The following is a 27745-nucleotide window of genomic DNA, read 5'->3' as shown; positions in this document are numbered from 1 at the left end:
CCTACTGCTAGAAGATAAATGATTAGCTCGGCAAATACTGATTTGTCTTATGGAACTCTCGGAGCAGCGGGGCGGCGTCAGCGCCTGTGCCACCGCGGACACCCGGGAGTGAACAGCAGCCGTCTCCTCCGCGGGCCCGGACGCAGCCACGCCGCCACCCGAGCGCTGGGGGTCGGGGCTCCGGCCGACCGGGGGAGGCCGCGGGGAAAGCCCGGCCGCCCGCCCGCGCCAGGCCCGGCCCGGCCCGGCCCGAAGGCCCGCCGGGAGCTGCGGGGCGGACGTGGCGGGGGCCGCGCGGTGCGGCCCGTACCTGTGGGTCATCCCGGCCGCCACGCCCAGCATCTCTCCGCTTTCGGCCGCCGCCGTCTCTCAGCCCCTCGTCTCCCGGCGCCGCTCCAGCCGCGTCCTAGTCCCTCGCCGCCGCGGCCGGCTACTGGCGGGCCCGGAGCAGGAAGGGGAGGAAGGCCAGGGGCCGGCCGCGCGGGGGCGCGGGAGGGGGGGGAAGGCGAGGCGGGCCGCGCGGGAAGGCGGGGGAGGGGCGGGAGCGGCTGGGCAAGGAGGGGCGGGGACTGGCGGGGCGGGCGCCGAAGGGCGCGGACTGGAGAGGTAGGCGCGGGGGGGCGGGGCGTTGCGGGGCGGGGCGCGCATCAGACCCCGCCCCAACCCGTGGCTCGGGCCCGCCCCCATTTCAGCACCCCAGGCTAGTCTGGGAGGCTGGCGCAAACGCAGCGGGTGGCTGGGGTAGGGGCTCATTGGGAGCCCACGGAGCGCGGCGGCGGCTCGGGGGCCGAGTTCCCTACAACAAGGATGGCGGTGACGGGCGCAGGGAGCGGGGCCCGGCTCTCCTTGCCTCGAGGCTCCTCTGATTCCACTCGCGTGGCTGCGCGGCCCTGGCAGCGGCCTTCGTCCCGGGGGTGGGAGCTACACAGGGTTCCGCCCCGTCCTGGCGAGGACGCCTGAGGGGGCTCTGTGGTAAGGCTCTGTCGGGCAGGCCGGGCTTCCGGGAGGACCTGGTCTGGATCGGTCACCGCTGGGTGCCTGAGCTCCGCATGGAGCCTGCAGCCTTTGTTTAACTTGTGAGTTAAGAAAAGTTAACCTTTCTTGGAGAGTTTCCAGTCTTGCCTCTGCATCCTGTTCTTCCTTGCTAGCTCTCATTTTCTTCACCCATTCCGTCTATCAAAACCTGAAATTTTGGGGCCGGCGCAGTGGCTCACGCCTGTAATCCCAGCACTTTGGGAGGCTGAGGCAGGCGGATCACCTGAGGTCAGGAGTTCGAGACCAGCCTGACCAACATGGAGAAACCCCGTCTCTACTAAAAATACAAAATTAGCCGGGCGTGGTGGTGGCACATGCCTGTAATCCCAGCTACTCGAGAGGCTGAGGCAGGAGAATCGCTTGAACTTGGGAGGCGGAGCTTGTGGTGAGCTGGGAGATCGCGCCACTGCACTCCAGCCTAGGTAACAGGCTCCGTCCCAAAAAAAAAAAAAAAAAAAAGTGAAATCTCCAAAGGATTTAATAGATTTAATAGATAAGACAAGTTATTCATCCTGGGCATAAATGATCTCTCTCAGGATACCTGATTCTGTAACTATAGCTACTCTCTAGTAATAGAATGAAAACTTTGGTCTCCTGCCAGTCGAGGCATGTCGGAGGAAAACACTGGATCTATTTGATGTCCTCACATGAAAGTAAATTCCAAACAAAGCAAATAGTTAAATGTTCAAAAAACAAAAAAAAAAAAAAAAAAAAAGAGAGAGGTTATGAAAATACCAGAAGAAAACAAGGGAAAAAAACAAAAGTAAGGTTGGAGTGGTGAGAGACTTTTCAAAGAGCATATAAACCATAAAATTAAAAATTGATAAATGTAGGCCGGGCACGGTGACTCACGCGTGTAATCCCAGCACTTGGAGAGGCTGAGGTGAGTGGATCACCTGAGGTCAGGAGTTTGAGACCAGCCTGACCAACATGGTGAAACCCCGTCTCTAATAAAAATACAAAAATTTCACCGGTTGTGGTGGCGGGGTTCCTGTAATCCCAGCTACTTGGGAGGCTGAGGCAGGAGAATTACTTGAACCTGGGAGACAGAGGTTGCAGTGAGCCGAGATCGCGCCATTGCAGTCCAGCCTGGGCGACAGAGCAAGACTCTGTCTCTAAATAAATAAATAAAAATTGATAAATGTAACTACATAGAAATCTAAATTTTCTGCATAGCAAATAAATATAACAAACCCCAACCAAGAAAAATATTTGTAAAATGTATGACAAAAAGTTCTAAATTATTAAAAAAGTTCTAATTATTAAAAAAATCAGTACAAAAATGTTCAACTCAGAGAAAAACAGGTTTCTACAGAAAAATACAAATGATTTCTTAAAGTATCATAAAACAAAAATAAAATACAATTTTTCACAAATGCAAAGATGAAAAGTTTGACTATATATTGTTTTGATGAGGATATAGGGAAACCCTTTTTTCCTCCCCTAGAGGAGGCCTCTCTATGTTACCCACACTGGTCTTGAACTCTTGGACTTCAACTATCCTTTTGAATAGCAGGGTTTACGAGTGCACGTCAGCATGCCTGGCTAATTTATTGTTGATAGGAGTATAAATCCATACACGCTTTGTAAAGAACAAGTGGGCAATAGCTATCAATGTAAAATTCAGCTCTTCTTTGACCCAAGATATTCATATTTTGGAATTTATCTTACAAATGTATTCTTATATGTACACCAAAAGAATGTACAAATTTGGGCATGGTGGCTCACACCTGTAATCCCAGCACTTTTGGAGGTCGAAGCAGGAGGATCCCTTGAGGTTAGGAGTCCAAGACCAGCCTGGGAAGAAAAGGGAGACCCCCCTGCCTTGTCTCTACAAAAAAAAAAAATTAAAAATTAGCTGGGCATGGTGGCGTGCACCTGTAGTTCCAGCCAGCTATAATTGCACCACTGCACTGCAGCCTGGGTGACAGAGTGAGACCCCGATTCAAAAAAAAAAAAAAAAGAAAAAAGAAAGAACAAATTTTAAAGGTCCCTAGGCAACTATCTGTACACTAAATGACATCACTGAAATTTACTTTAAAATGTAGGGGTGGGGAATGTGGGTTGATAACTTGAAACTACCTCATAAATACATTACATTCTTTATATTAGCTTGTCTACTTTAGTGTATATGTGAACATTTCTGTAATAAAAAAGTTTTTTAAAATTGAAAATGGCCGCGCGGTGGCTCAGGCCTGTAATTCCAGCACTCTGGGAGGCCAAGGCAGACAGATCATGAGGTCAGGAGATTGAGACCGTCCTGGCTAACACGGTGAAACCCCGTCTCTACTAAAAAAAAAAAAAAAAAAATGCTGGGCATGATGGTGTGCGCCTGTAGTCCCAGCTACTTGGGAGGCTGAGGCAGGAGAATGGCGTGAATCCAGGAGGCGGAACTTGCAATGAGCCTGTAGCAGGATGAGCCGCAGACAAAACTCCTCAGACTCCGAGTTGAAGGAAGGGGTTTATCTGGCCGGGGGCATCAGCAAGTCTCCTGTCTCAAGGGCCAAGCACCCCGAGTGAGCAATTCCTGTCCTTTTTAAGGGCTCACAACTCTAAGGGGGTGTACGTGAGAGGGTCGTGATCGATTGAGCAAGCAGGGGGTACGTGAGTGGAGGCTGCATGCACCAGTAATTAGACCGGAACAAAACAGGATAGGGATTTTCACAGTGCTTTTCTATACAGTGTCTGTAATCTATAGATAACATAACTGATTAGGTCAGAGGTCGATCTTTAACTACCAGGCCTAGGGTGTGGGGCCGGGCTGTCTGCTTGTGGATTTCATTTCTGCCTTTTAGTTTTTACTTTTTCTTTCTTTAGAGGCAGAAATTGGGCATAAGACAATATGAGGGGTGGTCTCCTGCCTTATTCCTCCCCTTTGAGACTCTCACTCAATAGTAGGAGTTTTCACTTTCATTTTCTTATCTATGTCTTCCTGCAAGACAGATCGATAGTGATTCATTCATATAGTACACTTCTGCTGAAGCATTTTGGTGAACTAAGGTAGCGATGAAACTTTTTATCATTTGAAGAAGTACAGGTAGCAAACAAGGGAGCAGTAAGCAGGTTCCTATTACTATTATAACTTTTATTATAAGAGTTTTAAATCTTCGTAGTGCTGGGAACCATTTTCTAAACATGGCCTCAGGATCAAATCCATGCCACACTTGTACGGGCACATGTGTCAATTTTGTTATATCTGTAACTATGTCTTCAACTACTTGCCCTTGATTATCTATGTATAGGCAGTAATTAGTATGGTTAAATTTCCTACAGACCTCACCTTCAGCTGCTAGCAAGTAGTCGAGAGCTAATCTATTTCGATAGATAGCATTTCTCATCTGAGTTTATTGCCGGGCCAGAAGAGTCAAGGCTCTGCCAGTTTTATTAGTGGTTATTTTTAAGACAGCTTGTAACCGTATGATTCAGTTGATCATGCAAATGGGGGTCTGGTATCCTCACGAGCCGTCTTGTGCCTAAGTAGCAGGCCTATAATATTGCATGATTCTCTTAGGGGGCCATTTATCATGTTTTCAATTTCTTATAGCTATGCTTCTCTTTTCGTGGGAAGCATAGACAGGGAAGCCTAGGATTTCGCCTGTTTTTATGGGCAGTAGGAAGAAAGATGGTTTAATAGTGCCAGTAACACAACTACCTGCCTGCTGGTCGGGTAATTTGGCATAAGCTCTATGCCTACATATCCAGTACAATCTAGTGGGGGCTGTCCAGTCCCGGTGGGACTCCGGGTGGGTCCACACAGTTTGCAACTTTGGGAATTTACTAAATGGATTTCTCTCTGTGTGACTTGAACTCCACCAAGTGACTGTTTTTGTGGTGCCATTATACACTTTCTGTCTCAGACAACTAAGTCATCCTACGGGGTGAGTGAATTCTCTTCCTTCTCTAGCTATGCAATATTGTCCAATAATTGAGGCTTTTAGGACCTAGAAATTATCAGGGTGATTCTTTTGAGCTGGGAATTCATCAGGAACTTGGTCTGTAGGTACTAATTCTTGGGCTTCCTGTGGCCATTGATCTCCTATTACAGTTTCTCCACGTACATAACGTGAAGTGACATTGAGAGACTGGGTTACATGCTCGGCTAATTGCAAAAACAAATTTCTTGTTTTTCCTGGAATTTCTGGTACTGGCACATTTAGTTCATCATAGAAAGTTTAAAACACTGGCTTAGGAGAGCATTTATAAACTTCTCCTCGAACTAAGATGTTTACTTGAGGATCCAGTCCGGCCCCGTCGATTCTTAAGGTCACACTCTCCTCTTTTTTCCTGCGAGGATCAAGGGGATTGGTTATTACTAGCTCTAAGGGGTTACATTGTCCCTTAGTACAGGAAGGGCCATTTTTTCCTTTCTGAAGGTGGACTGGATCTTTTTCATTTTTTTTTCTAAGTGGCCTAAATGACACAAGACCAGTATTTATATTTATTTCCACACAGTCCTAATTTATGACAGATGTACTTATTTTCTGCCATATAGCCTCTTTTCTAATTAAGACAACCACACCTTATTCCTAACTTATTACTATTAATGACAGCGCAGACATTAACTTTTAAGGTGACTTGTTTGGGCACCCCTTTTTCTTCTGTTTTAGCTAACACTTTACTCGTATCGTTTATGAGCCCCCACCAGTCCTCAGTCCTTAATCTTATTTTAAAAATTGTGGTCATGGGAGGCTGAGATGGGTCATAACACACATCAGGTTGGTCATTTCCTGGGCTACATACCTTGTATAGAATAACATTATACAAACAAGTTCTTTTTAGAGTTCCAGTACACTTATAATAACCACAAAATAATAGGACCGCAGCAACTTTTTGTCCTACCTCAGTGACTTGTTGTATACCCTGGGAATAGTCCTCGGTCTGAGGAAGGTCAGTTGAAGTCCTTACTGTAAAAGTCTAAATTTTAAGGAAAATGAGTCCCGCGATGAGTTTTCTCATGCTTTGGCCATGCGTGGACCAGTCAGCTTCCGGGTGTGACTGGAGCAGGGTTTGTCGTCTTCTTCAGAGTCACTTTGCAGCGGTTGGTGAAGCTGCTCCTGTCCACGTACCGTTCACAGTCTACTGATGTTCAAGGATGGTCTCGGAGGTTGGGCCTGCTAGAATAAACTGAGTCTAACACGTCTACACAGTTATGTTCCACTGGGCTCTCTGATACCGGGAGCAAGGTGGTGGGGTTTAGGGTGTTGCGAACTTCAGTGGTTATGTGGGGATTTTCACATAGGTTAATCTAGCATTTGTGAACTAATGATGTCCTTTGGTAGTCATTAAAGTTACCACAGCATGGGGGCCTTTATATTCGGGTTTTGCCTAAGGGTTAGTTTATCTGCTTCTTGTGCTAACAGGGCCATTTCTGCTAGGGCCCTTAGACCTGGGGGCCAGCCTTTGGAAACCCTGTATAGTTGTTTTGAGAGATAGGCCACTGGCCTTGGCCAGGGCCCCACAGTCTGAGTTAAAACTCTAACTGCCATTTTTTCTCTTTCTGACACATAAGGTGTAAAGGGTTTTGTCAGGTCAGGTAGCCCCGGGGCTGGGGCCGACATGAGTTTTTCTTTTAACTCATGAAAAGCTCGTTGCTGTTGGTTGTAATAGATGTAGTTTATCTAATCTACATTTTTATTAACTGTCACCTACCAAAATATTGACTCAAATCCTGTAGCTATTTGGTTTCAAGCTTTAAATTGATCTGGTATTCCTCGTAGGACTCCAATTGCGTCTAAATAGACCTGAGAGTCGAAAGACCTATAAGGGACTTCTCTCCCTTTACGATGTCTTATTTTTTTTTCCTTCTGGTTGATGAAATGCCAGGGTGAAAGGGATAGTCAAATGGACTAAAATACAAGTGCCGCTCCAGTTATTCGGCAGAGTGCCTACTAAAGGTCCACCACAATACTACCACACATCCGCTCGGGGGTGAACAAGGGCTGAGTGATTGATAAGCTCTTGAAAATTCTTAAGCTCACTGCATCCTTTCAGGTCTCCAAGGAACGCTAAGTTTCCTACTTGTCGTGAGAGAGACACAGTGAACTTAGTGTTGGGAGATGGAGGCTGGATGGCCTTCAAGGGCTGACCCACAGGGTGCTGGACTTTGGGATATAGCAGAGAGAGCTTGGCACGACTTATTACTTCAGGCTGTAGAATCCTGGAAAAGGGCTACCATGCAGCCTACACCTGGTTGACTGGACGACCACTTTAGTGGAAAGGAGACAGTCTGGGCCTCTGGCCTGCCATGTGCACAAGCATAACAATTATTTTTGTTTAACATGCAGATGGAATATTTGATCCCTTTTAACCAGGCATTTGCACCTTGGTATCTTGTCTTAATTGCTAAAGTTTAAGTCTTTAACTTCTATGATCCTCTAGTAAAATGAATGTATGGTTTTAGGAAATTGCAAAAACCTGTTGGGGCAGTCCATCCTTGCTCTTTACTGGTCCACAGAACGTTGGACCAACTATGGCATGAAAGGTCTACATGGGGGGGCAAGACTCCTGGTTGACACTGGGGTCTTTATAGACATCTCCCTGGATTAAATGGTCCTAGTTTACTAATGCCCAGTCTGAGGAGAGTCAGGCGGGACAGAAGTACTTTTCTGAAGTAGAAAGCTGTCTTTGACTTGGCAAGTCCCCACAGGGTATAACAAGGCAAGCATTAAATGCAATAGTTTGAGGTGAAATTGACTTGGTTGTTAATAACTGGATGGTCAGCAATAGAACGAGGAAAGAAGAAAGAGTAATAGACTAGATAAAAAGAGTTAAATTTTTCTTAGGTTTAGTTTGGTAGGGTTTTCCCCTGGGACTATGGCCCACAACTCTGGAGGGGGTGGCACTTTCTTGACTCGGGTGTGATGAGTCCATCCTTTTTTTTTTTTTTTTGCTGTACGAATAGCAGTCTTGGTGGTTAGCAGCAGAAGGTAGGGTCCTTCCCAGGCTGGCTTGAGTTTTTCTTCTTTCCACCTTTTGATGAGAACATGATCTTCAGGCTGATGGTGCTGGTTTACCAGAAATTCTAGGGGTGGTACATGTGCTAAAAGACTTTTAGTTTTTGAGAGAAAGGAAAGTGGAAGATAAACCAAGTATATAATTTTTAAGAAATTGATATTTTGTTTCAAATGTGGGGACTTTGGCAGTGGACTTTATAGTCCTTAGTGCCTTTTTACTGAGAAATTTCCTTTAGCACCTATTTTTATTAGTTTTTAAACCAAAGAAGCCAAATACCATTTTACATTTAACAATGCTTCTTGTATGATTTTTATACCAGATAAGCTAAATTTTATCTTTATATTAGTGTGTTATTAATATTAAATGTAATTTTAATAAAAGCTTGTAGACATATTTATCTAATTTTTAATGTTTGACCATAAAGTAAGATTTTATAGACTCTTTTTAACCTTTTATAACTTTTGCTAAAGAGCAGGTTGGTGCTTTAAGAAAAACCTATTATGCTTTTACTTTAATGTCCAGTTCACAGAAAAACTCGATGATACTTCTTTAACTTTAGCTAATATGTTTACACACAGAATTTTCTTTACAATTAACGTTTTAAAACTTGCTTAAACTTTCAAAACAATAGTTTTTTTTTAAACTTTTTAATGTAGGTAAGAATGTACATTCTTATGCCCCCTTATAATCCTTTTACCAAAGGTATAGTATACTTTTCTTATACACCTTGCACATAAACTGTTTTTTTTTTTAATAGTTTTACATTCAGGAGGACTAGTTACTTTTAAATTATACAACATTTTTTACATAAATTCTTTTTATAACATTTTTCTCTTTCATGACTTTCACAGACAATTCTTCGACATGCCTTAACTTTCTGACTTATTACAAATATTTCTTTCTTTAAACAACCAATTAATTTATTTCAGGACAAGAATTTACCATATAATACTCTTTTTATATAAATTCTGCCCTGCCTTTTTTTTTCCTTAGGATACTTTTGAACTGGTGAGGTGTGCTCACAATGACCTTTCCTCTAAAAGTTATTTTTTTTACTTTTTTTTTTTGTTGTTGTTAGCAAAGCAGTTGCCGCTACAGATTGAATGCATTTGGGCCATCCACGGGTTACTGGGTTAAGGATTTTTGATAGGAAGGCCTCAGTGTTTTGGGATACGCCCTTGTTTACACTGACAACAAAGTGGTATTGGAGTGTTATAGGGTTACAGATAATACCTTCAATTATCAATTATAGGTTTTAAATTTACCTTGGCTTTTAAAGGGATAGGGTACACCTTTTTTTTTTTTAACTGCTTGTATATCTCTCTTTCTCTCTCTGACTTTGTCTCTCTCTCTTTGACTTTCTTTTTGACTCTGTCTCTTTTTCTCTTTTTCTCTCTCTCTCTGCCTCTCTCTTTCTTTCTCTCTCTCTCTGCCTCTCTCTTTCTTTCTCTCTCTCTCTCTCTCCTTGACTTCCTCTTTGTCTGTCTCTTCCTCTCTGTCTCTTCCTCTTTCTCTTTGCCTCTTTTCCTCTCTGTCTCTTTCCTTTATCTCTCTCTGCTGGTCTTTCCTTGCCTCTGCCAGCTGCTTATGCTGCTGTTCTTTCAACCACTGTGTGTTGGGGGCATGGGATCTAAAACTAGCTGTAACCAAGTGTCTATGTACGGGAACTGGTCTGGGTTCCCAGGCTTACAGGTTATCTTGTGCCATACCTTTGAAACAAGGGACTTACTTGTCCAGGCTTCCTTCTAATGGCCAACCTACCTCTAATGCTGGCCAGTCTGTCTTACACAAAGTTTTAAGTTTTCCTGGTGTCACAGTACTCCATAGTCTCTTTTAAATTCTTTTTTGAAAATTTTCAACTTATCTCCTAGTAGGGTGGGCTTATTGGTGCCTGACCTATGCTTCTTCGAGACAAAACACCACACTTACACCACACACACACCATAAAACAAAGAACGGGTAAAAAGGGCACACACACACCTTTGCAATTTGCACCAAACCAAAATCAAAACTAAAATCAGAGTATCCAGAAATCCAAGCCAGGTCAAAATCAAAACCAAAGTATCAAGCAATCCAAATCAAGTTAATAACAAAAACCAAAGTGCCGGTACGAGCACACCGTGGGTGATCAGGCCATGCTTCCACTCAAATGGAGTAGGCAAGTTCCTAAGACCAATCCTGTCAAGCAATTCAAACCAAGTCAAAACCAAAACCAAAGTGCCGATAAAGGCATGCCATGGGTGATCAGGCCACGCTTCCACTCAAACGGAGTGCGCAAGTTTCAAAGACTAGTCTTAACAAGTTTTAGATGTCCAGACTCCAAGTGCCTGTTCCTTCCCAGTGTTCAGCCACTGCGTTGATCCTCCATGGGGGCCTGCCACACACTGCTCTGGTGAGGCATCCCACCGGGCAAGTGCCTACCTGGGAGCGCTCTCAGGATCCGCTCGGGCTGGTCGGAGTCCCCCGCAGGGATGTTCCACAGGGCAGGCTTAAGCCGCCTAAGGAGCTGCCTCGACCATCTGCCAATCACCTCGCTTCCCGGTCAGGGAACCGAGAAATGTAGCAGGACCAGCCGCAGACAAAACTCCTCAGACACCGAGTTAAAGAAGGAAGGGGCTTATTCAGCCGGGGGCATAGGCAAGACTCCTTTCTTAAGGGCCAAGCTCCCCGAGTGAGCAATTCTTGTCTTTTTTAAGGGCTCACAACTCTTAAGGGGGTGCGCGTGAGAGGGTCGTGATCAATTGAGCAAGCAGGGGGTATGTAACTGGGGGCTGCATGCACTGGTAATTAGATCGGAACAAAACAGGATAGGGATTTTCACAGTGCTTTACTATACAGTGTCTGTAATCTATAGATAACATAACCGATTAGGTCAGGGGTCGATCTTTAACTACCAGGCCTAGGGTGTGGGGCCGGGCTGTCTGCTTGTGGATTTCATTTCTGCCTTTTAGTTTTTACCTTTTTTTCTTTGGAGGCAGAAATTGGGCATAAGACAATATGAGGGGTGGTCTCCTCCCCTAAGCTGAGATCGTGCCACTGCACTCCAGCCTGGGCGACAGACTGAGACTCCGTCTCAAAAAAAAAAAAAAAAATTGAAAACAGACGAATGTACAAGGGGAGTCATTGCAGTTTTGTTTTTAGGAACTGAGAAGGTTTATTTATCCAGGATATTGTTTAAGTAAATTACGGTTTCTACCAGGAATACTCTGCAGCTGTTAAATAAGAATAGCCAATAAGTATATGAAAAAATGCTCAACATCACTAATCATTAGGGAAATGCAAATCAAAACCATGGTGAGATATACCCCTTACCCTTTCAGATGGCTACTATCAAAAAAACAGAAAATAATGTTAGCAAGGATGTGGAGAAATTGGAACCCTTGTGCACTGTTGGAGGGAATGTAAAATGGTGCAGCTCCTGTGGAAAGCAGTAAGGCAGTTCTTTAAAAAATTCAAGATACAGTTGCCATGTGATCTAGCAATTCCACTTCTGGATCTATATCCCAAAGAAGTGAAAGCAAGGTCTTGAAGAGATATTTGCATGTGCACATTCATAGTAGCATTATTCACAATAGATGAAAGGTGGAAACCACCCAAATGTCCAGAAATGGATAAATGGATAAATAAAGTGTGGTACATTCATACAATGGAATATTTATCTATTCACCCTTAAAAAGGAAATTCTGGCTGGGCAAGGTGGCTCATGCCTGTAACACCAGCACTTTGGGAGGCCAAGGCAGACAGATCACCTGAGGTCAGGAGTTCGAGACCAGCCTGGCCAACATGGTAAAACCCCATCTCTACTGAAAATACAAAAATTAGCTGGGCATGGTGGCGGGCGCCTATAGTCCAAGCTACTCCGGAGGCTGAGGCAGGAGAATCACTTGAACCCAGTAGGTGGAGGTTGCAGTGAGCCAAGATCATGCCATTGCAGTCCAGTCTGGGCAACAAGAGCAAGACTCCATCTCAAAAAAAAAAAAAAAAAAAAAAAAGGAAGGAAATTCTGACTTATGCTGCAAAATGGATCAACCTTGAGAACGTTACACTAAGTGAAAGAAGCAAATCATAAAAAGGACAAATACTGGGCCAGGTGCAGTGACTCACACCCTGTAATCCCAGCACTTTGGGAGGCTGAGGCGGGCAGATCACGAGGTCAGGAGATTGAGACCATCCTGGCTAACACGGTGAAGCCCTGTGTCTACTAAAAATACAAAAAAAATTAGCTGGGTATGGTGGCGGGTGCCTGTAGTCCCAGCTACTCGGGAGGCTGAGGCAGGAGAATGGTGTGAACCCGGGAGGTGGAGCTTGGAGGGAGCTGAGATTGCGCCAGTGCACTCTAGCCTGGGCGATAGAGCAAGACTCCGTCTCAAAAAAAAAAAGCTAACTTGAAAAGAAAATTGAAGTCCCTATAATCCTACTTCCTAGATAGAATCAGTGATCTTGCACTTTTAGTGTTATTTTCTGTCAATCATAGTTATATGTATCCCAATGTAATACATATATTACTTAACATGAAAAATTTTAAGCACCTAGAAATTTAAAGGAAATATGCTCATCTATGAATATTATAAAGCCACTATCTAGATTTAGCAGTTAATATTTTGCAGTGTTTAAATTTTTTTCACTGTAGTTTGAAGTAAATTACTTTAAACTTTTCACCCCTAAATACTTTAGAATGCATCTTTTTTAAAGAATGAATTCTTTCACAATATAATCACACAATTTTCACACCTAACACAAGTAACTGTGCTTTCTAAATGTTGTCTAATAACCAGACTATATTCACCTTTCCCTTTTTGACCCCAAAAAATGTCTTTGAGAGCTGGTTTGTTTAAATAGGGTTCTAATTAAGGAGCATAGGTTGCATTTCATTGTTTGTCTCTAAGCTTTTTAAAAATCAAGTGTAGTACCTGGCCCCCCCCCTTTTTTTTCTTGACTTTGAACTTATTGGAGAGACCTAGCCAGTTGACTTACAGAAGTTGGGTCAATGTTCTCACTTTCTGTATTTATCTGATTGTTTCCTCATGGTGTCCTTTAACTGTATTCTCTTTTATTTCCAGTAAAGCAGAATTTTAGGCTTGAACACAATTACATTAAACATGTTGGACAACAATTCTTCACCGTTGATACAATTTTCTTTCTTTCTTTCTTTCTTTCTTTCTTTCTTTCTTTCTTTCTTTCTTTCTTTCTTTCTTTCTTTCTTTTCTTTCTTTCTTTCTTATGGAGTTTCACTCTTGTCACCCAGGCTGGAGTGCAGTGGCACGATCTCGACTCACTGCAACCTCCGCCTCCTGGGTTCAAGTGATTCTCCTTCCTCAGCCTCCCACGTAGCTGGGATTACAGGCGCTTGCCACCATGCCCAGAAAGTTTTTGTATTTTTAGTAGAGATGGGGTTTCACCATATTGGCCGGGCTGGTCTCGAACTCCTGACCTTAGGTGATCCACCCACCTCTGCCTCCCAAAGTGCTGGGATTACAGGCATGAGCCACCACGCCCAGCCTGATGCCATTTTCTTCACATAGTATCTAGTGTACCCACTATTAGAGATTCTAAGATTATAGGGTTAACTATCCATTTATCATCCTGCCACTGGAAAGTATTCTATGGGTTGAAACACTGAGATCTTTGAAATCTTTCCCTTAATGGTTTTAGCATGCAGTAATGATTCTTTCTCACATCAGTTACTTAATTAGAAGTTGCAAAATGGTGATTAAATTATCTTCTTTTTTCTACATTTATTAACTGTCATTCTTACCTCTAAAGAACTTTCCCTCATCCACTGGGGTTATTTTGTATCTAAAACTTAGTTCCACTGCAGAGAAAGAATACATTATTCTTTATTTACCTTTAATTACCAAGTTTTAGAATAAGAACTTGAATAACAGCCACCCCCATCAGTGATGAATAAGATGGTTTGTTTTCATCTTTATTGAGTATGATTATGGACTCAATAATTTTTATGCTTTAAATGTCTTCTAGTCAATTATGGTTCATTACTCTTATTGATGCTCAAACTGTCAAAATGTTCCAGATTTGGCCAAGGGGAGTCCTTTCTGTTGGCTCCTGGGACCTTTTCATATGACTCCATTAGTCTTTTAAATGACTCTTTTCGTCTTTTGGAGTTTTAATATAACTTCATTAGTCCTGGTTCACTTTGTACATTCCTTACCCCAGACCTGAAATAAGCATCTCTCAAGCCTCCTGATTCCTTTTACTATGGAATTATATTTACACATTTATGATTGTTACGTCTTCTTGTTGAATTGACCCTTTAATAATTATGTAATATCCTTCTTTATTCATGGTAATCATCTTTGTTTGAAGTCTACTTTGATATTAATATAGACACTCTCATTTCCTTTTTCTTTTGCTTATTTTTTTAGATACAGGGTCTCATTCTGTTTCCCAGGCTGGAGTGCAGTGGTGTGATCATAGCTTGCTGTAACCTCAAACTACTGAGCTCAAGCGATCCTCCCACCTCAGCCTCCCAAGTAGCTAGGGTACATTATACCATGCATGCCACCATGCTGGGCTATTTAAATTTTTTTTTTTCATTTGTAGAGAAGGGATCTCATTCTGTTGCCCAGGCTGGTCTGGAACTCCTAGCCTCAAGAAATCTTCCTGCCTTGGCCTCCCAAAGTGCTAGAATTACAGGTGTAAGCCACCACACCCAGCCTAATTTCCTTTGATTAGTATTTGCATTTTTCCATTCTTTTAATTTTATTTTTCTATATATATATTTTTGATATGAAGTCTCACTCTGTCACCCAGGCTGGAGTGCAGTGGCACGATCTCAGCTCAGTGCAACCTCCACCTCCAAGGTTCAAGCCATTCTCCTGCCTCAGCCTCCCAAGTAGCTGGGACTACAGGTGCGTGCCATTATGCCTGGCGAATTTTTTGTATTTTTAGTAGCGACAGGGTTTCACCGTGTTAGCCAGGATGATCTTGGTCTACTGACCTCGTGATCTGCCTGCCTCAACCCCCCAAAGTGGTGGGATTACAGGTGTGAGCCACCAAGAACAGCCCATTCTTTTAATTTTAATCAACTAAGTCTTTATATTGAAAGTGATTTTATTATAAATAGCATGTACTTGGGTCTTGTCTGTTTAATGTAGTCTGACAATCTCTGCCTTACAGTTGGTATATTTAGACCATTTACATTTAATATAATTATTGATTTGGTAGGATTTAGGTCTACCATTTCTAATCTGTCTTCAAGTTCACAAACTGCTATCATCATCTGCATTCTGCTATTTAGCCCATCGAGTGAATTTTTGAAAACTATTAATAATACATTTTATTGTTTGAACAATTTCAGCTTATCAGAAAAGTGAGCACACAGAAGAGAATTCCCATAAGCCCTCTTACCCCAAACCCTCCCACCCCCCAGTTTCCCTTATTATTAACATCTTGCATTAGTATAGTAGTACATTTGTTATAACTGATGAGCCATTATTAAAACTTTATTAACAATAGTCCTTTTGGATTACATTAGAGTTCATTCTTGGTGTTGTATAGTCTATGGGTTTTGACAAATGTATAATGACATGTATTCATCATTATAGAATCAAACAGAATAGTTTCACTACCCTAAAAATCAGCTGTTCTCCACTATTTATCCACCCTCCCCGCCCCCAACTCCTAACTCCTGGCAACCACTGAACTTCTTACTGTCTCTATGGTTTTGCCTTTTTCAGAATATATATATCATATATAAAGAACTATATTTTTTGCAAAGATTTTTTTCCCATTTAATGGCTTACCTTTTCATTCTCTTAACAGTGTCCTTTGTGAGCAGAAAAATTTAATTTTAGTGAAGTCCAACTTACCAGTTTTTTCTTTTATGAGTCGTGTTTTTGATGTTATATCTAAAAAGTCATCACCAAATCCAAGGTCACCTGAGTTTTCTCCTATGTTATCTTCTAGGAATTCTGTAGTGTTGCATTTTACATTTAGGTCTATGATCCATTTTGAGTTAATTTTTGTGAAAGGAGTGAGATCTGTGTCTAGATAAGATATACTTAGGCAGGCCCAGTGGCTCATGCCTGTAATCCCAGCACTTTGGGAGGCCAAGGTGGGCAGATCACCTGAGGCCAGGAGTTCGAGACCAGCATGACCAACATGGTGAAACCCCATCTCCACTAAAAATACAAAAAGTTAGCTGGGCTTAGTGGCAGAGGCCTGTAATCCCAGCTACTCGGGAGGCTGAGGGAGGATAATCACTTGAACCCAGGAGGCAGAGGCTGCAGTGAGCTGAGATTGCACCATTGCACTCTAGCCTGGGCAACAAGAGCGAAACTCCACCTTAGAAAAAAAAAAAAAAGATATACCTCGACGTAGCATTTTTGTTATTTATCCTATACGGTGTTTTTTGAGCTTCCTGGATCTGTTCCTTTATGTCTACCTTAGTTCATTTGGGCTGCTGTGACAAAAATATCATAAACTGGAGAGTTTATAAACAACAGAAATTTATTTCTCACAGTTCTAGGGGCTGTGATGTCCAAGACCAAGGCACTTAGCCGTGTCTGGTGAGGCCCTGCTTCCTCATAGATGACACATTCTGGCTTTGTCCTCACATGGTGTCAGGGGCTAGCTAATTCCCTGGGGCTTCTTTCATAAGTGCATTAATCTCTGTCCTGAGGATAGAGCCCTCATAACCTGATTGACTCCCAAAAGCCCCACCTCAGTACTATCATATTGAGGATTAAGTTTCAATATAACTTTTGAGGAGACACAAACATTCAGACCATAGCGTTATCTATCATTAATTTGGGGAAATTTTCAGTCACTGTTGCTTCAGATGTTTCTTCTGTTTCTTTCTCTTTCTCTTTTTTTCTTTTTTTTTTTTTTTTTTTTTGAGACGGAGTCTTGCACTGTTGCCCAGGCTGGAGTGCAGTGGCATGATCTCAGCTCACTGCAAGCTCTGCCTCCCAGGTTCACACCATTCTTCTGCCTCAGTCTCCCAAGTAGCTGGGACTACAGGCACCTGCCACCATGCCCCGCTAATTTTTTGTATTTTTAGTAGAGACAGGGTTTCACCGTGTTAGCCAGGATGGTCTCAATCTCCTGACTTTGTGATCTGCCCGCCTCGGCCTCCCAAAGTGCTGGGATTATAGGCCTGAGCCACCATGCCCAGCTTTCTTTCTCTTTTTCTTCTCTTTCTGGTATTTCCAAAAAGTCTCCACGTTCCACCTTTTGTAATTGTCTCACAGTTCTTGACTCTTGTTCTGTTTTTTCTTTTTCATTCTTTTTTCTCATTGTGTGTCCGCTTTTGAAGTATCTATTGACATCTCTTCGAGCTCACTGATTCTTTCATTGGCCATATCCATTCTTTTGATGAACCCATCAAAGGCATTCTTCATTTCTGTTATGGTGTTTTTTATTTCTAGTATTTCATTTTTATTTCTTCTTAGTGTTTTTATCTCTTTGCTTACATTACCCATCTGTTCTTGCATGTTATGCCGTTTTTACATTAGAGCCCCTAGCATGTTAATCTTAGTTATTTTAAATTCCTGGTTGGATACTTCCAATATTTCTTTCATATCTGAGTCTGGTTCTGATGCTTCCTCTGTCTCTTCAAAGTGTGGGGTTTCTTGTCTTTTAGTATGCTTTGTAATTTTTTGTTTGAGGCTGTATATGATGTACTGGGTGAAAGGAACTGAGTTAAATAAGGCTTTAGTATGAGATTTTGTGTTTCTCTGGCTAGGAGTTAGGCTTTGTTTACTCTTTGCTATATAGTCATGGATGTCAGAGGCTAAAATTTCCTCTAGTGTCCCTGTGTTGTCTCCCCTGTCTTCTCTGGGGAGCTCCCTAGAGGCTTCTTTGTAAAGTAGCTCTGAGTCTTGCAGTGTCTATCCCTAATCATGGGAAAACATCAAACAAACCCATACAGCGGGACATCTGACAAAGTACCAAGTGTCAAGGATCATGGATTGAATCCTGAAACAGAGGAAGGACACTGAAGTAAAGACTGGGAAAACCTGACTGAGGTCTGGAGTTTAGTTAGTGATACTATACCAAGACTAATTTCTTAGTTTTGATAATTTGTTAACAGTTATGTTAACATTGGGGGTAGCTGTGCAAGGGGTGTGAGAAAGCTGTTATATCTTTAACCTTGGCCCATGGTTACGGTGTTTCCAGTGTAAGGTCACTGTTATTCCTTGTAGTTAACATATATTTGGCACCACAGGATTCATTCTGGAATTCTCCTTGGCTTATTTATAACTTTTTTTCTTTTTCTAGTAGTGAGAAACCTGGCTTTCATGCAGAGTTTACAAACGCCAATTTAAACTTTGTTTTGTCATATGCAATGATTTTATTACCTGTATTTATTTCAGAGCTTATGAATTTTTAATTATTCTAAGGGCTAACATAGAACTTTTTCATGTTTTCTACTCTTCAAGAGTAGGTAAGACTTTAGTTTGTAATACATTACAAAAGGAATCCTGTGGTTCTCTAAGAGCTAATTTGTCTTGGCAAAAGGCCTTAGCGAGCTGTGAGTGGTGGCTCATGCCTGTAATCCCAGCACTTTGATCTGAGACGGGTGGATCACCTGAGGCCAGAAGTTTGAGGCCAGTTTGGCCAACATGGCGAAACCCCATCTCTGCTAAAAATACAAAAAATTAGCCAGGCATAATGGCATGCACCTGTAGTCCCAGCCACTTGGGAGGCTGAGGCAGGAGAATTGCTTGAACCTCGGAAGTGGAGGTTGCAGTGAGCCGAGATCGTGCCACTGCACTCCAGCCTGGGAAACAGTGAGACTCTGTCTCAAAACAAACAAAAAAAACAAAAAAACCCAAAAAAATTAGACGGGCGTGGTGGCATGCAACTATAGTCCCAGCTACTCAGGAGGCCGAGGCAGGAGAATCGCTTGAACCCAGGAGTTGGAGGTTGCAGTGAGCAGAGATCATGCCACTGCACTCTAGCCTGGGTGACACAGTGAGTATCCATCTCAAAAACAACAACAACAACAACAAAAACAAATTAAAAAACCCAACAACAACAAAACCAGCAAACAAGAAAACTAAACAGGCTTTAGGGAAAGAGCAATCTAATTATCTGATTATATGACTGGCACTAAGATGGGAGTGACTCTGGCCTAATTTCTTCAATTTACATTTTAAAATAGGAGCTTAGTTAGCCCCCAAATAATATGTAATTGATGTATTAGGATTGGGGAGTGAATATTTTTCAAATCAGAAGATATTTCTCAATTCTTGCTTAGTTTTAGAGGTTGAAGTTCAAGGAAGCCCCTGCCTTGGCACTGTATTCCAGGGAGGTATTTGGAGTTAATTTCAGGGCTTAGCAGTGACTCTTTAGAAAAGCAGTATACGATTGAAATGTAATGTGGTACAAATGAGATCACTACAAGTAATTTAAAAATGTGCTAGTAGTGTTTTTTTTTTTCTGAGACGGAGTCTCGCTCTGAAGCCCAGGCTGGAGTGCAGTGGCACGATCTCGGCTCACTGCAAGCTCCGCCTCCCGGGTTCGCGCCATTCTCCTGCCTCAGCCTCCCTAGTAGCTGGGACTACAGGCGCCTGCCAACACGCCTGGCTAATTTTTTGTGTTTTTAGTAGAGACGGGGTTTCACCGTGTTAGCCAGGATGGTCTCGGTCTCCTGACCTCGTGATCCTCCCACCTCAGCCTCCCAAAGTGCTGGGATTACAGAAGTGAGCCAACACACCCAGCCTCTAGTAGTACTTTTATCAAAAGTAAATAGAAACATGAAATTAATTTTCACAATATATTTTATTTAAACTAATATGTTCACAATGTTAAAATTTCAACATGTAATCACTATAAAAACTACTAGTGAGATATTTCACATTACTTTTTTCATGTAAGCCTTTGAAATCTGGTGTGTATTTTATATTTACTGTACATCCTGATTTGGAATAACCACATTTCAATCTTTCAATAGCCACATGTGGCTAGTGGCTACTGTGTTAGAGCAGTTCTAGAACAAAGGAGTCCCTTTCAAACTATTTTGAAGTCATTGTCTATAAGGCAATATGAAAGCTGATCTGAATGATTTCTCCTTTTCCAGGAAAGGAAACAAAAATGAAATCATGTTAGGGCTGCATATTTTATGGGTCCCAGGACAAATAGACATAGTCTGAAAGAATGATCTCAGTCAGAAACTCAGAATGAATCATATGAATTAAACATTGGACAATGTCCAATGCTCAGCATGTGTTTTTGGTTTACACTAAGAGCATATTATGCCACCAAATACAGATATTTACTATTATACTTAGTGTAGGAGGTATATTGAGACGTTGTTCTAGACTACCACAGTTCCATATTTTGTGAAAAGTTGTATTGCACTTTTTTTTTTTTTTTCAGAGTGCGCCCAGGCTGGAGTGCAATGGCATGATCTCAGCTCACTCCAGCCTCTGCCCCACCCAGGTTCAAGTGATTCTCCTGCCTCAGCCTCCCTAGTAGCTGGGATTACAGGTGCACACCACCACGTCTGGCTAATTGTTGTATTTTTAGTAGAGACGGGGTTTCGTCATGTTGGCCAGGCTGGTCTTGAACTCCTGACCTCAGGTGATCCACCCGCCTCAGCCTCCCAAAGTGTTAGGATTACAGGCGTGATCACCACGCCCAGCCTTATATTTCACTCTTTGGGAATTGCATCTTACTGTAATCTTAAACAACACTAAAATAAATAATGTAAACCTTTTGTCAAATTGCTCAGAGTAGGTTTCTACTTTGGTTATAAGGAATAAAATTCATGCTTTTGTGTACACACTAGACATCTAAAGCAATCAACTATAGTTAACAAGCAGTGCTCTTACCAAAAGGTAACTCTTACTAGAATCCGGCACACCATTTAATATCAGTATGAGCATATGGTGGGTTTAATAATTGTTTTCCATGTTTATAAGTTTTCTTTAGTTTTATAAGCAGTTAAAAAGAATCCCTTTCACTGAAATACAATCTGTGGTGGGACTTCTAGCTTTTCTCAATCTTACGCTGCTAGATTTATGTCACTGCCAAAGCTATGCAATGGGTGATATTTACACTGTGCTCAAACAAAGCAACCAGAAAAACACATATCACTGAATAATACAGATATTCTGAAGTCAAGCAAGCCAACTTTCATTAACAGATCAATTTCCTTAGAAAAGTTGATGAAACCAAAGACTGAAGTTCAAACAAAAAGCGCTCTCAAGGGCGTATGAATTTCTGGTAACTTATGGGGTAAGAAAAAGAGCAAGAAACTTGGAAGTAGGGAAGAGAAAAAAGAAAAGGAGCAAGAGGGGATAGCCAGCTCTCAAAAGTCTCCAATAGGAAAGCAAAATCTGTATCTAGCCAGTACCAACATGTGAAGAAAGAGTGAGCATAGCAAAATTTAGAAAGGTTGCTTGAAAACCAAACAAAAAACCAAACACCTGTAATCCTAGCACTTTGGGAGGGTGAGGTGGGCGGATTGCCTGCACTCAGGAGTTCAAGAACAGCCTGGGCAACATGGTGAAACCTTGTCTCTACTAAAATCCAAAAAAAAAAAAAAATTAGCTGCGCATGGGCTGGGCGCGATGGCTCACGCCTGTAATCCCAGCACTTTGGGAGGCCAAGGTGGGCAGAACACGAGGTCAGGAGATCAAGACCATCCTGGCTAACACAGTGAAATTCCATCTCTACTAAAAATACAAAAAATTAGCCGGGCGTGGTGGCCCGTGCCTGTAGTCCCAGCTACTCCGGAGGCTGAGGCAGGAGAATCACTTGAACCCAGGAGGTGGAGGTTGCAGTGAGCTGAGACCATGCCACTGTACTCCAGCCTGGCGACAGAGCGACACTCGTCTCAAAAAAAAAAAAAAAAAAAAGTCTCTTTTGGCCAGGTGTGGTGGCTCACACCTGAAATCTCAGCACTTTGGGAGGCCGAGGTGGGTGGATCACTTGAGTCCAGGAGTTCAAGATCAGCCTAGGTAACATGGCAAAACCTCGTCTCTACCAAAAACAAACAAACAAAAATTAGCTGGATGTGGTGGTGCACACCTGTAGTCCCAGCTACTTGGGAGGCTGAGGCAGGAGAATCACCTGAGACCGGGAGGCAGAGATTGCAGAGAACTGACACTATGCCAAGGCACTCCAGCCTGGGTTGACAGAGCAAGACTCTCTCTCTCTCAAAAAAGAAAAAACAAAAAGCCTCCTTTAAAAAATGCAGTTTGATGCTATAAATTTATCAGTTAATAGTTTTTGGGGAAAAAAATGTTTTCTGACATTTCAATAAGAGCTATAGACGAAGTCCAGCATTAGTCATCATTCTGGACTAAGTCGGGAAATCTGGAATCTCTTCCCAGCTCTGGGAGGTACAAAGTTTTAAAAAATAAGTTAAGGTCAAAATGTTAGAAAACATTCAATTTATTTCCTTATTAACTCAATTGTTCACTCATAAACGACAGTAACACTTGGTGCTATGGGTCATGCACTGAGGTCAGAACAAGGAACAGAAGAAAATGAGGTAAATTGATAAATCTTTTTGCAGGCTGAGAAGGGAGAGAATGCTGGCATGCCTACTCTGTGCTGGCTTTTTTTTGTTTGTTTGTTTTTGAGATGGCGTCTTATTCTGTTGCCCAGGCTGGAGTGCAGTGGTGCAATCTTGGCTCACTGCAAGCTCTGCCTTCTGGGTTCACGCCATTCTCCTGCCTCAGCCTCCCAAGTAGCTGAGACTACAGGCACCCGCCACTACACCTGGCTGATTTTTTGTATTTTTAGTAGAGACAGGGTTTCACCATGTTAGCCAGGATGGTCCCGATCTCGTGACCTCGTGATACGCCCACCGTGGCCTCCCAAAGTGCTGGGATTACAGGCGTGAGCCACCGCGTCCAGCCCTCTGTGCTGGGTTTTATGATGTCATCCAATAACTCACAGCTATGTAATTTATTTCCTTTTTACAGATAAAGAAATGGGGGCTCCGAGCAGTCAAGAAGAACATGCCCCAAGTTATTCGTCAGTGAGGCGGAAATTGTGGTGTACTTGTGTAAGTTCACATTTTATACTTTACCATTATACTGTGCTCCAAATTATCTGATATTTACTTTCAAAGCATGTGTAGAAAGTTTACTATGATGATGCAGAGACATTGTACAGAATCCAGTCCCTTGACTCTCAGGTCCCCAGAACACTCACTTCACGATTTTGTTGACCTCTTCTGTCAACTTAAACCTGGCACTCTCTTGGCTGGCTTTCTCTGCTCTTTCTGGGCACTCCAAAGCTTCTGTACTTACATGCTACAATTCCAGTCACAGGAAGATGCTGAGTTCTTTAGTCCCAGATCCATATTCCTGAGAAAACCTAATTGCCTAGGCTCAGGTCATAACTCTGTATCTGTTTCAGTTGATTATGGCTGGGCCTACTGCCCCTCTGTATGGTGGTGGGGCAGAAGTTCCCAGAGAGAGGCAGGGGTGACAGGGACTGTTGTCTCAAATGCTAGGCAGACATCTGGAGTGGTAACCACTACATCTGTTCACAGTGAGCACATCCTTGCAGGGAAACTGGGTTAATCATCTCTATTATTGAAACTCAGAGGTATAGTGTTTCTTCATAGGAATTTTCTTTCCTTATTTGAGATGGGGGTCTCACTTTGTTGCCCAGGCTGGAGTGCAGTGGTGTGTGATCTTGGCTCACTGCAGCCTCCCCTCCCGAGTTCAAGTGATTCTCCTACCTCAGCCTGCTGAGTAGCTGGGACTACAGGCATGGGCCAACATGCCTGGCTAATTTTTGTATTTTTCGTAGAGACAAGTTTTCACCATATTGGCCAGGCTGGTCTTGGACTCCTGACCTCAGGTGATCTGCCCACCCTGGCCTCCCTAAGTGCCGGGATGACAGGTGTGAGCCATCGCGCCCGGCCTATTTATAGGAATTTTCTGTAGGTATATAAGTAATAATTTGAAGGTCCCAACTAGATGCCTTTTCGTGTAACCGTATCTTGAATGGAACATTTTCTTTCTACGTAATTATACATAAATAACCCAATGCTTTTTAATACCCACGAAAAACCATTAGCTCAAAGACACTTGCAAACTTGTATCAGGTTGTTCTCCTTGGTGTGTATTAAGTTTGAAGCAAAGGGGATTTTCAGATACCAAGACGAAGCAGAAGTCTTCCACCAAGTTGAAATCATCACGTTGCAATTTAATCATATGATACAACCAATTTTTTGATGTGTTATGCCATTCGCCAAATACCAAAAATTTTTTAGGGGAAACTTTACATCCTCAATACTATACACTTCCAGCTACACCACCACCTAACAGGGACTTTAAAAAGAATACAAAGTATGGTATGCCTTCTCAGTGCCTTGTTAGTAATTCAGTTACAGTTCTGCCGAACTTTCTTTAAAGGAATACAATTCTCAATCTTACACCGTTCAGAGCACAAGCATAGCTTATTGTATACAAGAGATGTGCATCAGTTCCCACTCCTCAGGGACTGTATGAATTTGGCTTTTTTTTGACGGAGTCTCACTCTGTCACCGGGCTGGAGTGCAGTAGTGTGATCTTGGCTCACTGGACTCTGCCTCCCGGGTTCAAGTGATTCTCCTGCCTCAGCCTCCCAAGTAGCTGGGACTACAGGTGCACACCACTATGCCCAGCTGATTTTTTGTGTGTTTTTAGTAGAGATGGGGTTTCACCATGTTGGCCAGGATGGTCTTGATCTCTTGACCTCATGATCTACCCGCTTTGGCCTCCCAAGGTGCTGGGATTACAGGCATGAGGCACTGTGCTGGGCCAAATTTGGTTCTTAGAAACCAAGGAGTGATGTGTGCACCAGGCCCAGGGCTGAAGAGCTGCTTCTCACTAGATGCCTCTCTTGGTCTGGCTGCTGTGTCCAGTCCTATGCAGGGTTAGCTCTGTTCCTCCTTCTTGTGGCATCTGTGTTTCTCTTTCTGCTCTGTCTCTCCCCATATCCTAGTCCAAACATCCAAAGAAATTAATTACCTCCAGGAGATCGAGACCATCCTGGCTAACACGGTGAAACCCCGTCTCTACTAAAAATACAAAAAATTAGCCGGGCATGGTGGCGGGCGCCTGTAGTCCCAGCTACTTAGGAGGCTGAGGCAGGAGAATGGCGTGAACCCGGGAGGCAGAGCTTGCAGTGAGCCGAGATCGCGCCATTGCACTCCAGCCTGGGCGACAGAGCAAGACTCTGTCTCAAAAAAAAAAAAAAAAAAAAATTAATGACCTCTGCCCCTAACTGAACAAAGCCCTTCATCTAAGGCCACCCTTTGGTTGGCAGCCTTAGCCAGACATCTGCTTCTGGTCAAATCAATGTCTTGTCTACAGGGAGGCCCAGTGCTGTTTCTAGTTTTAGCTGGATGCAGGGTGTCAGACATGGCAGGTACTACGGTCTACCTGGTGGGTATCAAAGAGTTGGTCGATGTTCTCTCGACAACCTAATAGGGACCAATCGTGTAAGGCCAGTAGTAAAGGAGTTTGAAGTTCCCTTTCAGAAACCAATTAACAACCCCAAAGAGACAGTGTGTAACATAAAAGAGCAGCCATAAAAATATACAGTTAAACATATTTAATAGAAATATTAAAATAATCATTACACTTCCTCTCATTGCAGAAACCATGAAAGAATATGCCTTTTGTAATCAAAGTAATTTTTTATCATGCAAAAAATTATTTTGTTATGACATTCGTAAGCAGAGACTATATTTCAAAACAAGTTTATACAGACTTCAAAAGGTCTAAAGTCAAAGAGAAAGTGAAATATATTTAAATATGATTAGTTACATCGTATGCAGCTGGCATACTCATATTCACAGTTTATAAAGTAAAAAAACTAAACTCTTCATGTCAGCTCTGAAATAGATGCATTTTCATTAATACATTCACTAGTTAGGTCTGTTCTTCTAAGACAGGAGGAAAGATGAGATATATGAGCTATTTTTTAAAGAACAAACTCAACATATCAGCAGCAAATTTCAGTTAAACTGAATTGGAAACCAATGTTCTGTGTAACCAAAGTGCAAAGCCAGTTCTCCAGCTCAGAAAGAAAATTAAATTAAGAGTATAAACTGAAGGCTTAAGAGAACTTCAGAGAGCATACTGTGTGATTAACACATAAATATTACAAATTATCCAATTTTTGATTTAAGAACAACACAGTTTGGATCTAGTCATTAAAACATATGCAGAGGTGTCAAAGGCAAGTAACACTACCACCTAAGGTTATTCGGAGGAACTGTGACGATGTAGCACGGACCTCTAAGGTGTCTAAAATCCCTTCTGATGGAAAGCTTATGGAACACTATCTGCCAAAAACACTGAAAGCACCACTTTTATATTTAGATCCAATGCTGAGTGATATAGTCACTGTTGTGATAGGTTTTTATTTGGGAAAATGGAGAGGATTCTCAAAACAGATTCATGGCTTGCATGCAGTGACACCCTATCAAGAGCCTGGAAAGACACCATGAAATCACCTCAACTCAAGTGTGGGCCCACCTACTCATAGTCAGTGTTACACTAGCCAGCTCTAGGGCTCTGACAACATAATGAGTTTTGAGATAGTATACTTTAAAGAAAAAAAGAAGAGTTTATTTTAAAGCAAATAACTAAACTGTATTTTAACTTAGCATAATTAACTGCAGCATATTTACTTCATAGCCCCTTAACATGTCACTTTTACCAACAAAGCTTTTTCCTTCATATTCTAATCACAAAAATTTCTCAACAATTTATAACAATCTGTAACTCTGACCTTGCAATAAATAGTCATAAAACGTTATTTTTATTTTATTACTATTATTTTTAGAGACAAGGTCTCGCTCTGTTCCCCGAGCTGGAGTGCAGTGGGAGTCACAGCTCACTAGCCTCAAGCAATTCTCCAGCCTCAGCCTCCCAAAGTAGTGGGATTTCAGGCATGAATCACCACACCTGGCCTTGAAACATTATTTTTAAAGCCTAAATTCCAGTTGGTATGGTACCAAAATTTAGTTTAACTTCAAAATTCACAGTACTGCCGAGAAATGGGCGGGTCCTGAGGTTCCAGAGAAGTGGGGAGTGAATTCATTCCTGGTGGTTTTATTCTGGCAGCATGCATGGGAAATCACATGAGTTAGAGGGCTGTGGCCTGCTATCAACACTTCAAGCTGTTGTACTTTTACTTCAAGATGAAACTTTTAAAATACATCTGTCATATAGATGTACAAATATATGTAGATGCAAACATATATACACACTTTTTGACAAAAGAATTGTGGTAATATACGTGAACCATTTTTGTAAATAGATTCTATTTGGTTAATAAAAATATTCCTTCCATCAACCTATCGAAGTCCAGACCAACTATGAAGATAGGATGCCCATCCAGAAGAACGGGAAGCATTTTCTTCCTCACCTTTGGAAAGTAAAACAAAAAAAAAAAGAAAAATAAAAGAAAAAAGAGAGTATTAAAATTTCTCAATGTAAAATCTATATTTTAGAATCACTCTACAATATAAGCAAATAATGTGTTTTTTACTGATTACATGCCTTTTTTTTGGGGGGGGGGGTTCTTTTTTTTTGAGACAGGGTCTTGCTCTGTCACCCAGGCTGGAGTGCAGTGGCGTGATGAGACTTCAATGCAGCCTTGATCTCCCAGGCTCAAGTGATTCTCCCACCTCAGCCTCCCAAGCAACTGGGACCACAAGGTGTGTGCCACCATGCCTGGGTAATTTTTTGTTTTTTTTGTGGAGATGCGGGTCTCACTGTTTTCCAGGCTGGTCTCAAATTCCTGGGCTCAAGTGATCCTCCCACTT

The 27745-nt window shown here is 42.4% G+C and overlaps 2 protein-coding genes and 1 long non-coding RNA gene across 10 annotated transcripts in view, besides 4 other annotated features; 1 reads left to right on the top strand and 2 right to left on the bottom strand.

Annotated features, from left to right (window-relative positions):
* Window positions 1–1234, bottom strand: part of LIMS1 (LIM zinc finger domain containing 1) — a 153576-nt gene extending 152342 nt beyond the window's left edge. For 3 of the 5 annotated variants that reach the window (NM_001371495.1, NM_001394896.1, NM_001193483.3), the window contains exon 1: window positions 311–435. In NM_001371495.1, coding sequence (NP_001358424.1) covers window positions 311–342 — 32 coding nt within the window. In that variant the 5' untranslated portion in view covers window positions 343–435. Of the gene's footprint in view, window positions 1–310; window positions 436–1096 lie in introns of those variants that run through there. The other 2 variants (NM_001371496.1, NM_001394898.1) reach the window with 1 other exon arrangement.
* Window positions 190–789: a silencer, noted in NCBI's record as "silent region_11849". NCBI's record gives its function as "represses an Ori minimal core promoter by ATAC-STARR-seq in GM12878 lymphoblastoid cells {active_cell/tissue: GM12878}" and the evidence as "EXISTENCE:reporter gene assay evidence [ECO:0000049][PMID:35858748]".
* Window positions 686–27378, top strand: GCC2-AS1 (GCC2 antisense RNA 1). Its single transcript, NR_135290.1, has 3 exons — window positions 686–1076; window positions 22893–22975; window positions 27284–27378. It is a non-coding gene; the product is annotated as a GCC2 antisense RNA 1 (long non-coding RNA).
* Window positions 1278–1572: a silencer, noted in NCBI's record as "tiled region #7983; K562 Repressive DNase unmatched - State 1:Tss". NCBI's record gives its function as "represses a minimal TATA promoter and a strong SV40 promoter by Sharpr-MPRA in K562 cells {active_cell/tissue: K562}" and the evidence as "EXISTENCE:reporter gene assay evidence [ECO:0000049][PMID:27701403]".
* Window positions 13210–13489: a mobile genetic element, noted in NCBI's record as "direction; forward".
* Window positions 13226–13260: a non allelic homologous recombination region, noted in NCBI's record as "2q12.3 distal recombination sub-region, recombines with the 2q13 recombination sub-region". NCBI's record gives the evidence for it as "EXISTENCE:nucleotide sequencing assay evidence [ECO:0000219][PMID:23657883]".
* GCC2 (GRIP and coiled-coil domain containing 2) overlaps window positions 25490–27745 on the bottom strand; it is a 60210-nt gene continuing 57954 nt past the window's right edge. For all 4 annotated transcript variants that reach the window (XM_006712870.4, XM_006712871.2, NM_181453.4 and 1 more), the window contains one exon: window positions 25490–27345. In XM_006712870.4, the coding sequence (XP_006712933.1) occupies window positions 27275–27345 (71 nt within the window). In that variant the 3' untranslated portion in view covers window positions 25490–27274. The remainder of the gene's footprint in view (window positions 27346–27745) is intronic.

The sequence above is a fragment of the Homo sapiens genome, chromosome 2, assembly GCF_000001405.40.
Source record: "Homo sapiens chromosome 2, GRCh38.p14 Primary Assembly".
Taxonomy (NCBI): Eukaryota; Metazoa; Chordata; class Mammalia; order Primates; family Hominidae; genus Homo; species Homo sapiens.
The sequence above is the reverse complement of the archived record's forward strand: the minus strand, read 5'-3'. Positions and strand labels throughout refer to the sequence as shown.